Consider the following 13,691-nt stretch of genomic DNA (forward strand, 5'->3'; position numbering starts at 1 on the left):
TACTTTAGATTTTTTAAAACATTCATTTAAAATTTTACTTCACTTAATTTTTAATATCGTCTTTAATAGACTACTCTTTCCCTCTAAATTTTTATGCCACAAATTTTCATTATTTTATTTTACTTGAACTGGGTAACTCGCTTGATTTTCTGGTAACCAGATAGGAACATTGTTGTCTTCCAGGATTGATTTTAACCATAGTCACATATTATGCCTATATGATAATATAATAGTCTTCTAGGAAATCACCCCTTAGAGATAGTTTGAAGACCTACATGATCTCTAACTTTTGTGCATTTTAATCTACTAATAAAATGAAATTGGAAGAAAAGAACAAACAAAAGGAGTTTGCAAGGAATCAGTGTATTTTTTTCTATTTCAGAATTTGTTGAAAAATATAGCATTTTTAGTGTTTAATCTGTGTGCACAGTGTATGTAGATTAGTCAATATAGGCATATGTATACCTTAGAATTCATTTCTAAAAATTCATTTGTGCCTTATCCCATTTTTTCTTTCCTACAGAGGTCTGGAAAATAGAGCCCACAGTGAGCAATTTAATGCCTTTTTTAGGCTGCCCAAAGGAGAGAGTTTGAAAGAAGTACATGAATGTTTCTTATGGGTACCATTCAGCCACTTCAATACTCATGGGAAAATGTGCATCTCAGAAAATTATATCTGCTTTGCTAGCCAAGATGGCAATCAGTGTAGTGTAATCATTCCACTACGAGAGGTAATGTAAATTTGGTTACATATCAGTTTTTAGTTTGAAAATGTTATCCTTCACAGAGTAAAATGTCCTTTAATTCTATAAATTATTAAAACCTCAAGATGCAATATCCTTTTAGTAATTTAAAATAATTATTCTTCAGAATAAGAGTACAGCCTTCTGAGATATTCTCAGTTCCATTTAGTAAAGTCTTTTTTTATTATTATACTTTAAGTTTTAGGGTACATGTGCACAATGTGCAGGTTAGTTACATATGTATACATGTGCCATGTTGGTGTGCTGCACCCATTAACTCGTCACAACATTAGGTATATCTCCTAATGCTATCCCTCCCCCCTCCCCCCACCCCACAACAGGCCCTGGTGTGTGATGTTCCCCTTCCTGTGTCCATGTGTTCTCATTGTTCAGTTCCCACCTGTGAGTGAGAACATGCGGTGTTTGGTTTTTTTGTCCTTGCGATAGTTTGCTGAGAATGTCATACATTTTTGAATGATCAAGCTCCATTTTGCATTAACCTAAATGCTTATCTTGTTTTTAAATTTTAAAGTTTTAAAATTTTCACTTTCAGTAAGAGCTGTAAGACTTTACTAAATGGTAAAGTTAGACTATCACTTTTGATGTACTCTGTCAGAAAAAAATAACATTGACATCTTTTACGTAAGTCAGAAATAAATTGTTGGTATTTGATACTGAATTTTTACATTTGTACTGTCATTTTTAAAGGATACATGTTAGACCTTTTTCTTGAGAAGTGAAATAACTTGCACTGAGGTTAATTGTATGATTGGTGCAACTAGTACCCAAAGTCTATTTCTTAATAAGTCATACTATAGACCAAAACTTTTGGCCACAAAAGAGTAAGCCAAACACATTTTACTTGAAGGTGTCAACAATAAAGGAAAATTTAATTGACCTCTATGTTTTTCACCCCCTAGGTCTTAGCTATAGATAAGACAAATGATTCCAGCAAATCTGTCATCATTAGCATCAAAGGAAAAACAGCTTTTCGCTTCCATGAAGTTAAAGACTTTGAACAACTGGTAGCAAAACTCAGGCTCAGATGCGGAGCAGCTTCAACTCAATATCATGATATTAGCACAGAGGTAATTAATTATACAGCAATCAAATCATTTGGAAAAAAAGGTGTGTGTTTAGTGTAGCCCATTCTTCAAGAGGAATTCATAGTACCTTTCCTATTTATGCCCAGGGGTTTTTTTTAAAGATAGAATCTAAGAAATTATATTGTCTAACTCACATCCTTAAGCAGAAGTGAGAATTAAGGACTTTATTCATTTTTAGGAACCCATACATTATAAAATTACTATAATTTGATCTTTCTTTTACTCTATTTGCTGTTTACCATATAAATATACCTTGTACTTTCACATAGTTTGGTTTTTAAGAAGTCAAAATATATTTGAGAATTCAGTGAGGCCTCGAAAAAGGACTCCTCTTACTGTTGCAAAGACATAGCAATTTTAAACCTGTCTGGATATCTTTTATTTAATATCTTATAGGTCAGCCTTATTTACATAATCTGGCCAAAAGCAAAATAGTGGTATATCTGTTTACTAGTAAAATATTAGAGAGGACAGAGAAATCAGGAAAGATCCAAAATTGACACCCTAACATCACAATTAAAAGAACTAGAAAAGCAAGAGCAAACACTTTCAAAAGCTAGCAGAAGGCAAGAAATAACTAAAATCAGAGCAGAACTGAAGGAAATAGAGACACAAAAAACCCTTCAAAAAATTAACGAATCCACAAGCTGGTTTTTTGAAAGGATCAACAAAATTGATAGACCACTAGCAAGACTAATAAAGAAAAAAAGAGAGAAGAATCAAATACACGCAATAAAAAATGATAAAGGGGATATCACGACCAATCCCACAGAAATACAAACTACCATCAGAGAATACTACAAACACCTCTACGCAAATAAACTAGAAAATCTAGAAGAAATGGATAAATTCCTCGACACATACACTCTCCCAAGACTAAACCAGGAAGAAGTTGAATCTCTGAATAGACCAATAACAGGAGCTGAAATTGTGGCAATAATCAATAGCTTAACAACGAAAAAGAGCCCAGGACCAGATGGATTCACAGCCGAATTCTACCAGAGGTACAAGGAGGAACTGGTACCATTCCTTCTGAAACTATTCCAATCAATAGAAAAAGAGGGAATCCTCCCTAACCCATTTTATGAGGCCAGCATCATCCTGATACCAAAGCCGGGCAGAGACACAACTAAAAAAGAGAATTTTGGACCAATATCCTTGATGAACATTGATGCAAAAATCCTCAATAAAATACTGGCAAGCCGAATCCAGCAGCACATCAAAAAGCTTATCCACCATGATCAAGTGGGCTTCATCCCTGGGATGCAAGGCTGGTTCAATATACACAAATCAATAAATGTAATCCAGCATATAAACAGAGCCAAAGACAAAAACCACATGATTATCTCAATAGATGCAGAAAAGGCCTTTGACAAAATTCAACAACCCTTCATGCTAAAAACTCTCAATAAATTAGGTATTGATGGGACATATCTCAAAATCATAAGAGCTATCTATGACAAACCCACAGCCAATATCATACTGAATGGGCAAAAACTGGAAGCATTCCCTTTTGAAAACTGGCACAAGACAGGGATGCCCTCTCTCACCACTCCTATTCAACATAGTGTTGGAAGTTCTGGCCAGGGCAATTAGGCAGGAGAAGGAAATAAAGAGTATTCAATTAGGAAAAGAGGAAGTCAAATTGTCCCTGTTTGCAGACGACATGATTGTATATCTAGAAAACCCCATAGTCTCAGCCCAAAATCTCCTTAAGCTGATAAGCAACTTCAGCAAAGTCTCAGGATACAAAATCAATGTACAAAAATCACAAGCATTCTTATACACCAATAACAGACAAACAGAGAGCCAAATCATGAGTGAACTCCCATTCACAATTGCTTCAAAGAGAATAGAATACCTAGGAATCCAACTTACAAGGGATGTGAAGGACCTCTTCAAGGAGAACTACAAACCACTACTCAAGGAAATAAAAGAGGATACAAACAAATAGAAGAAAATTCCATGCTCATGGGTAGGAAGAATCAATATCGTGAAAATGGCCATACTGCCCAAGGTAATTTACAGATTCAATGCCATCCCCATCAAGCTACCAATGACTTTCTTCACAGAATTGGAAAAAACTACTTTAAAGTTCATATGGAACCAAAAAAGAGCCTGCATCGCCAAGTCAATCCTGAGCCAAAAGAACAAAGCTGGAGGCATCACACTACCTGACTTCAAACTATACTACAAGGCTACAGTAACCAAAACAGCATGGTACTGGTACCAAAACAGAGATATAGATCAATGGAACAGAACAGAGCCCTCAGAAATAATGCCGCATACCTACAACTATCTGATCTTTGACAAACCTGACAAAAACAAGCAATGGGGAAAGGATTCCCTATTTAATAAATGGTGCTGGGAAAACTGGCTAGCCATATGTAGAAAGCTGAAACTGGATCCCTTCCTTACACCTTATACAAAAATCAATTCAAGATGGATTAAAGACTTAAACATTAGACCTAAAACCATAAAAACCCTAGAAGAAAACCTAGGCGTTACCATTCAGTACATAGGCATGGGCAAGGACTTCATGTCTAAAACACCAAAAGCAATGGCAACAAAAGCCAAAATTGACAAATGGGATCTAATTAAACTAAAGAGCTTCTGCACAGCAAAAGAAACAACCATCAGAGTGAACAGGCAACCTACAAAATGGGAGAAATTTTTCTCAACCTACTTATCTGACAAAGGGCTAATATCCAGAATCTACAATGAACTCAAACAAATTTATAAGAAAAAAACAAACAACCCCATCAAAAAGTGGGCGAGGGATATGAACAGACACTTCTCAAAAGAAGACATTTATGCAGCCAAAGAACACATGAAAAAATGCTCACCATCACTGGCCATCAGAGAAATGCAAATCAAAACCACAATGAGATACCATCTCACACCAGTTAGAATGGCGATCATTAAAAAGTCAGGAAACAGCAGGTGCTGGAGGGGATGTGGAGAAATAGGAACACTTTTACACTGTTGGTGGGACTGTAAACTAGTTCAACCATTGTGGAAGTCAGTGTGGCGATTCCTCAGGGATCTAGAACTAGTCATACCATTTGACCCAGCCATCCCATTACTGGGTATATACCCAAAGGACTATAAATCATGCTGCTATAAAGACACATGCACACATATGTTTACTGCGGCATTATTCACAATAGCCAAGACTTGGAACCAAGCCAAATGTCCAACAATGATAGACTGGACTAAGAAAATATGGCACATATACACCATGGAATACTATGCAGCCTTAAAAAATGATGAGTTCATGTCCTTTGTAGGGACATGGATGAAATTGGAAACCATCATTCTCAGTAAACTATCGCAAGGACAAAAAACCAAACACCGCATATTCTCACTCATAGGTGGGAATTGAACTATGAGAACACATGGACACAGGAAGGGGAACATCACACTCTGGCGACTGTGGTGGGGTGGGGGGAGGGGGGAGGGATAGCATTGGGAGATATACCTAATGCTAGAGGACGTGTTAGTGGGTGCAGCGCACCAGCATGGCACATGTATACATATGTAACTAACCTGCACATTGTGCACATGTACCCTAAAACTTAAAGTATAATAATAATAAATAAATAAATAAATAAATAAATAAATAAAATATTAGAGAGGACAAGGAGGATTTTGATGTTTAATATGTCTCTCATGGAAATGCAGACAGGTCAAATTCAAATGAATTTTCTTTTACAATGTCCAGGAACCCCAAGTTTTAATAGATTGATACAACTTATCAAATTATAGCTATTTGTATTTTAATTAAAATTCAAAGAAAAACTAAATGTGTCTTTATTGGCTATATTATTTTATTTGAATTGGAGTATAGAGCCTTTTACTGCTATCTCCAGAGTAGAGATTGAAAATAATATGCTAAGTCAATTATAATGCAGTATTGATAAAACTAATTTTCCCTTTGATAATTAAAAAGCACAATGAAAACATGTAATTAAATTTTTTTTTCCATCTCAATTCCAGACGCAGAATTTCTACATTGGCCATCAAGGGTTTTCCTTGCCCCAACTTTATTATCTCTCATTCTCTTTTAGTATGTACCCAGGATATTCCTTAGTTTGATGTGGGAATACAAGTAAAATCTGACCAGCCTTAGTAGTTTTCTCTCCCAATGCTCCCAAATTCTTACTTATATCATGTTTTCCTTGTTCTGTTCTATTTCACATTCAGTCCACGTGTTAGCTTCAAAGCTCAACATATCTTTCTTTTTCCTTTAATTTGCTTTTCCAAAACCTGAAGAGCTGTAACTGTTCCCCTTAAAACTTTCATGTGCTTTTAGTAGCTGAATATGCTCAGTTGTCAAGAAAGGATTTTGTTTCAAAATGAGTTTACCATCTTTCCAAATATGCATCAGAATTCTACAGTTTTCTAGTTTCTCACTCGTTTTTAGAGGTTTTAATAAATATATGTACAAAATACCAGCTAGTATACTATCTGCTTGGAAATATGTATTTTTAAATTGCCATAATATTCTGTTTTCACTTAAGATTTTTATCTTATCAATGATGAAGAATATTGACCCATTTTAGTATCTGTATATATCTAGTTTTAATAATAGTACACGTAAAAACTTAGTAAAGAGAAAGCTTTTTAAACAAGAGCTAGTTCCATTTGATTTCTAAGTAACAGAAATTATAGCTATATTCTTTTATAACTACACTTTTACTAAAACGAAGAGAAAAATTGCATTCTATAATTTTAATAAACCTGGTGACTTTTGTACAAACAGCAAGACTTTTTATTTTAAATCTCCAAGAGTCTAAATCAACAAGTCTAAATATGAATACAGGAAGTACTTTAGGAAATCTTTCCTGTGAGAATGTCAAAGACATTATACAAAGAACAAGTCCTACCAGAAGTAATTGAAATTATGCATGAGTACCAGTTCTATCCAAGTTTTTATATGGGTATATATTTAAATGTTCCACATTTTAATAAGTTATACTAAAATCTGGGCATATAAAGAGATTTAGTAAAATTCTAATAAACTGCTTGGAAAAATACATGAATCTTTTACTTTCATTGACACATATAATCAAGAACTATTACTAGATAAGGTAATTTTTCAAAACTACTCAATGAAAGAAAAATGGGCCCTCTTAGGTTAGTTTTAAGCAAAGTGGCCTAAGAATGGAAAGCACTACTGAAGATCCCTTGCCTGATGCTTTTAAACTACATTATGAATGAATTGTAGAAACTATGGAATGTCAAGAAAGGTAGTAATTGAGTTTATGCCTTAAAGTTTTTAGATGGGCAAATAAGTATCTTCTACATATTATCACAGAATATGTAAACATAACTTGTTTCATATAGTTAGTAAGATAGTTACTAACTGTATGTAATATAGTTATTATCTTAATAAGATAGTTTCATAACCAGGACTATCTTACTAAGTTTTTAAATAGAAGTAATGGGTTTCCTACATGATAATGTAGATCAAAATTGTAGTTTAACCAACATAACTGATTTTTTCTTGCCTTGATAAGAATAAGGTGCTTCCTATGACCATAATATAAATTTGGAAAATGATTTTTAGCTGTGGGGGTAGATTTATTTCTAAGTTGGGAAACCAGAAACTATTAAAAATGAAATTCACACCCTTTAAATTGTGGACTATGAACAGGATCCTATTTAAGATAAGCTTCTGATATTTGAGAAAAGCATTTGTTTATATTTTTTTGTTTTAATTATTGGTTTTACAGGTCAACTCTGGCCCCCAAACCACCATTTATTATACCGAGTTTATGAAGTATTCTAATTTAAATATAGTATTTTGTAGAAATTTACACATAAAGAAATGTTAATCTTTGCTTTGTCTTTCCTTCACTTTTAGAGCCATATGATAATTGTAAAATCAATGTCAGATAATAAAAATGAAACAGATTAAGAATACCTGCTATAGAGTTAACAATCTATGTTGCTTTCTAGATGTGATTGGATTTTGCTCAGGCACTAAAAGTCTGATGAGTGCCAAGTTTATTTGTCGTAAGTGTGAACACCCAAATAAATGGAGAGAAATATAGATATTTATCCAAGTATATATATAAAACACCATGGGTAAAAGTTTCCATTCAAAAGAGCCAGAGCAAAAATGTTCAAAAACTTTAAGTTTAGTTCCTTGAATAATCTACTTTATTACACTCTTCAAAATTTCAAACATTAAACTACCATCTTTGAAGGTAAATGTTTTTTATTTTATTTCTTTTGTCATTTTTTTAAATTTTCTAACCACCTACTGCCTGTTGATGAAGGTGAAGGTTTTAACGTGACTTTATGAATACTTAAGAGGCAATAATGGATAGAACTGACATACTTGTCATCACTCTTATAAATTTATGTTTAGGGTTTCATTGCTTAAGAGGTTATTTTTTTCCCTCTGGGATACTTTTCCTGTAGTTTAGAACAATAGATAAACTGATGATTCAGTCATTTAAATTAAAGGAATGTGCTGTGCTTGAGATCCAGACTACAACCATGAATTTTCCAACCTGTATTTGCAAAAATGTAACTCCTCGTTCAAACAGCTAAACTTAATATTAAGTTGTCAAGTATGTGATTTGTCAAAATAAGCATTTAAAAAAAAAAAGAAGGGAATTGTTGCAATTTGAGACCTATACTCTCTAATCATTAATTTTTCCTTTATTGGCTTCTTCTACCTTACCCTTTCATTTACACATTGATTTGAATACTCCTTAACTTTCCTTGAATCCTATCTATACTCATCTGTTCTCACGCTGCTATGATGAAATACCCAAGACTGGGTAATTTATAAAGAAAAGAGGTTTAATTGACTCACAGTTCTGCGTGGCTGGGGAGGCCTCAGGAAACTTACAATCATGGTGGAAGGCACCTCTTCACAGGGTGGCAGGAGAGAAAATGAGTGCTGAGCGAAGGGGGAAGCCCCTTATAAAACCATCAGATCTCATGAGAACTCACTCACTATCATGAGAACAGCATGGGAGAAACTGCCCATGATTCAATTATCTCCACCTAGTCCTGCCCTTGACACGTGGGGATTATTACAATTCAAGGTGAGATTTGGGTGGTGACACAGAGCCAAACCATATCATTCCACCCCTGGCCCCTCCCAAATCTCATGTCATGTCCTCATATTTCAAAACACACTCATGCCCTACCAACAGCCCCCTAAAGTCTTAATTCATTCCCATATTAACCCAAAGTCTGGGTCCAAAGGCTCATCTGAGATAAAGCAAGTCCCATCCACCTATAAGCCTGTAAAATCAAAAGCAAGTTAGTTACTTCCTAGAGACAATGGGGGTACAGGCATTGGATAAATACACTATTCCAAATGGGAGAAATTGGCCAAAACAAAGGGGCTACAGGCCCCATACAAGTCTGAAATCCAGCGGGGCAGCCAAATCATAAAGCCCTGAAATGGTCTCCTTTGACTCCATGTCTCATATCTAGGTCACACTGATGTGAGAGGTGGGCTGCCACAGCCTTGGGCAGTTCCACCCCTGTAGCTTTGCAGGGTACAGCCCCCCTCCTGGCTGCTTTCACAGGCTAGCATTGAATGCCTGCAGCTTTTCCAAGTGCAAGGTGCAAGCTGTCAGTGGATCTACCATTCTGGGGTCTGAAGGATGGTGGCCCTCTTCTCATAGCTCCACTAGGCAATGCTCCAATGGGGACTCTATGTGGGGGCTCCGACCCCACATTTTCCTTCCATACTGCTCTAGCAGAGGTTCCCCCATGAGGACTCCACCCCTGCAGCAAACTTCTGCCTGGACATCCAGGCATTTCCATACATCCTCTGAAATCTAGGCAGAGGTTTCCAAACCTCAGTTCTTGACTTCTGTGCACCTGTGACTTCTGTGCATCTGTAGCCCAACACCATGTGTAAGCCACTAAGGCTTGGGGCTTGCACCCTCTGAAGCAATGGCCCGAACTGAACCTTGGCCTCTTTTAGCCACAGCTGGAGCTGAAGCAGCTGGGATGCAGGGGACCATGTCCTGAGGCTGCATAGAGCAGGGGGGCCCTGGGCCAGGTTCACGAAACCATTTTTCCCTCCTAGGCTTCCAGGCCTGTGATGGGAGGGGCTGACGTGAAGATCTCTGACATGCCCTGGAGACATCCAAATTTGGTGATTAACATTCGGCTCCTGTTGCTTACACAAATCTCTGTGGCTGGCTTGAATTTCTCCCCAGAAAATGAGTTTTTCTTTTCCGTCACATCATCAGTCTACAGATTTTCCAAACTTTTTGCTCTGCTTCCTCTTGAACACTTTGCTGTTTAGAAATTTCTTCCATCAGATATCCTAAATCATCTCTCTCAAGTTCAAAGTTCCACAGATCTCTAGGGCAGGAGCAAAATGCCACCAGTCTTTTCACTAAAGCTCCATTTCCCAAGAAGTTCCTCATCTCCATCTGAGACCACCTCAACCTGGACTTCATTATCCATATTACTATCAGCATTTTGGTCAAAGCCATTCAACAAGTCTATAGAAGTCCATTGTCCATATTACTATCAGCATTTTGGTCAAAGCCATTCAACAAGTCTATAGGAAGTTCCAGACTTTCCCACATCTTTCTGTCTTCTTCTGAGACCTCCAAACTGTTCCAACCTCTGCCTGTTACCCAGTTCCAAAGTTGCTTCCACATTTCTGGGTATCTTTACAGCAGCGCCCCACTACCTGGTACCAATTTACTATATTAGTCCTTTCTTACACTGGTATGAAGAAATACCCAAGACTGGGTAATAAAGCAAAGAGGTTTAATTGACTCACAATTCCACATGGCTGGGAAGGCCTCAGGAAACTTACTATCATGGCAGAAGGCACCTCTTCACAGGGTGGAAGGAGAGAGAATGAGTACTGAGTGAAGGGGGAAGCCCCTTATAAAACCATCAGATCTCTTGAGAACTCACTCACTATCATGAGAACAGCATGAGGTAAACCGTCCCCATGATTCAGTTATCTCCATCTGGTCCCATGCTTGACACATGGGGATTATTACAATTCAAGATGAGATTTGGGTGGGGACTCAGAGCCAATCTTAATGTCCAGCCCTGCTAGGGCTTGTACTGGCTTCTTGGATTTCAAACTAAAGTACCACTGGATTGGTCCACCCTAAGCTGCTACTTTTCCTCTGCCTCAGTCATGGGCATTCTTTATCTTACTTAAGCTACTAAGGTTTACTAAAGTTTAAGGGATGAACTTAAGTGAGTCTTTTCTTCTTTTTTTTTTTTAGCACTCCTAGTAATAACTTGCAATAGCTGGTGTAGTTATAATCCATAGAAGCTGGGTAACTGATATGTTTTAAGAGTAAAACTTTGGTGTTCATAAAGTTTTATGTGGAAATACAAAAGACTCAGAGTAACTAAAACAGTATTGACAAGGAAAAACAAAGTTGGAAGACTCATGCTTTCCAATTTCAAAACTTATTATACAGCTATAGTAAACAAGACATTGTGATACTGGCATAAGGGGAGACATGTAGATCAATGTAATATAGTTGAGACTCTAGAAATACATTCTTACATTTATGGTCAGTTAATTTTCAACAAGAAGGCCAAGCTAACTCAATGGGGGAAAGAACTATTTTCAACAAATGGTGCTGAAACAATGGACAGCAACATACTCCCCACCCCCAAAAAGATGTTGTACTCTTTTCTTAAAACATACACAAAAATTAAATTAAAATGGATCAAAGACCAAAATGTAAGAGCTGAAACTATGAAACTCTCAGAGAACACATAGGAGTTAATCTTCATGATCTTGAATTAGGCAATTGTTTATAGATATGACAACAAAAGCATGTGACCTTAAAGAAAAAATAGGTAAATTGGATTACATCAAAATTAAAAACTTTTGTGCTACAAATGATATCATCAAGAAAGTGAAAAGACAACCCACAGAATGGAGGAAATATTTGCCAATTATATGTCTGGTAAGGGACTGCTGTCTAGAATGTATGAAGAACTCTTACAACTAAATAATAAAAGGCAAACAACCCAATTTTAAAAATGGTTAAAGGATTTGAATAGACTTTTCTCCAAAGAAAATAAAGAAATGGCCAATAAGCACATTAAAAGATTTTTCATATCATTAGTCAATAGAGAAATGCAAATCAAAAGCATAATGAGATACCATTTCATACCCACTAGGGTGGCTATAATTAAAAAGAAATATAATACTGTTGAGGAGAATGTGAAGAATTGAAACTCTCATGTATTGCTGTTGGGAATGTAAAATGGTACAACCCTCCCACCCCATACTTTCTGTCCTCTAATAACCATCATTCCACTCTATACTTTTATGAGCTCAACTTTTTACCTCCTTCATATGAGTGAGAACATATGGTATTTATCTTTCTGTGCCTGACTTATTTCACTTAACATAATGTTCTCCATGTTCATCCATGTCGCTGCAAATGAAAATGTTTCATTCTTTTTTGGGCTGAATAGTATTCCATTGTAAAAATTTATCACATTCTCTGTATCCATCCATCTGTTGGTGGACATTTAGGTTGATTTCATATCTTGGCTATTTTGAGTAGTGCTGCAAGAAACATAGGGGTATAATTTATATATTTGTGCTTATTTAACATTGCATGCCTGTATCAACACATCCTCATAAGCAATTGGTATTTTCAATGTTTTGGGTTTTAATAGGTGTGTAATGTTGTTTTAATTTGCAATTACCCAGTGACATCTGATGTTGAACCTCTTTCATATGATTATTTGCCATTTATATCTTCCTTGGTGAGGTATCTATTTAGATCTTTTGCCCACTTTTTAATGGGTCCTTTATTTTTTTAAACATAGTTTTAATTCTTTGAATATATTTATAATAGCTACTTTATAGTCTTTATTTACAAAATCCAACAAGTGGGCCCCCTCAAGACACTTTCTATTGGTTGCTTTTTTAAGTTCTTGTTTCTATTTTTAAGCCTGACTTCCTTGGATCACCCCCTGAATCAGTATAATTTAGTGGTTATTCAGTGATGGGTTAGATTTCCTTAAATGCCTTATGCTACCAAATATTCTACCTTTTTCTCAAGGATATCTGTGTGAAGGTATATGTCAAACTTCAGGCAATTTTCACATCAGCTTTAGCTTTTATTCCCTGCTTTCAAAGATAGCCAGAGTTGAGTGACTGGGGCTTTCTTCTGTCCCATTTCTTTCCTAGGCATGTTCACAGCCCTGTACATGTATTCATTCTTCTAGATCCCCAAGAATATGTTGCAGCCCTTCAAAGTTCCACATCATCATCTGGTTTTTCAGGTCTTCCTTTTAAATCTTTAGCCAGGCTCTTGTTTGCTCTAGCTGAAATCATAGCCTTGGACAGCTGGGTTGTTACCAACCAATTGCTATTGTTTTCTATAATACCCTGGGAACAGAGTTTTTTCACCAAGCTGAGCTGTGAATAAAATCAAATGATAACAACACCCTGGGAATAGAGATTTTCCAGGGAGTTGCAAGTTTGGTCAAATATTGTCTATGCCCTAGGGATAGGGCTTTTAATGAAACTCCAAAAGATCCACTGGTTGCCATACTGCTGGCTTTCATTTCTGAGCTTGGGCAGGTGGATAGAGTTAAAAGACCCACAGACTCTTCTGGTCTTACTCAGGCAGGCTCATTAGTTTTTCTCGAATAGGTGCTTTTCAGTTTATTGCATGCCTTTGGTTAATTCCAGTGTTCTGAAATGGTTTATTTTGAATGTTTTGCCACTATTTTGTTGCTTTTGTTGGGGAGTGTGTTCACAGGGGTTCTGAGCTTGCCATTCTAGAAGTCAGGTTGTTGACATATCTAATTTTGATAGGTATGTCTCTGAGATATTGCTTTAATA

At 36.2% G+C, this 13,691-nt stretch overlaps 1 protein-coding gene across 6 annotated transcripts in view; it reads left to right on the forward strand.

Moving 5' to 3' along the window:
* Positions 1 to 13,691, forward strand: part of TBC1D8B (TBC1 domain family member 8B) — a 73,478-nt gene that overhangs the window by 22,834 nt on the left and 36,953 nt on the right. For all 6 annotated transcript variants that reach the window (XR_001755701.2, NM_017752.3, NM_001441214.1 and 3 more), the window contains exons 6-7: positions 524 to 731; positions 1,664 to 1,831. Coding sequence is in view for 5 of the 6 variants with exons in the window: in NM_017752.3 (NP_060222.2) it covers positions 524 to 731; positions 1,664 to 1,831 (376 nt within the window). In the remaining variant the exon portion in view is untranslated. The remainder of the gene's footprint in view (positions 1 to 523; positions 732 to 1,663; positions 1,832 to 13,691) is intronic.

The sequence above is a fragment of the Homo sapiens genome, chromosome X (assembly GCF_000001405.40).
Source record: "Homo sapiens chromosome X, GRCh38.p14 Primary Assembly".
Taxonomy (NCBI): Eukaryota; Metazoa; Chordata; class Mammalia; order Primates; family Hominidae; genus Homo; species Homo sapiens.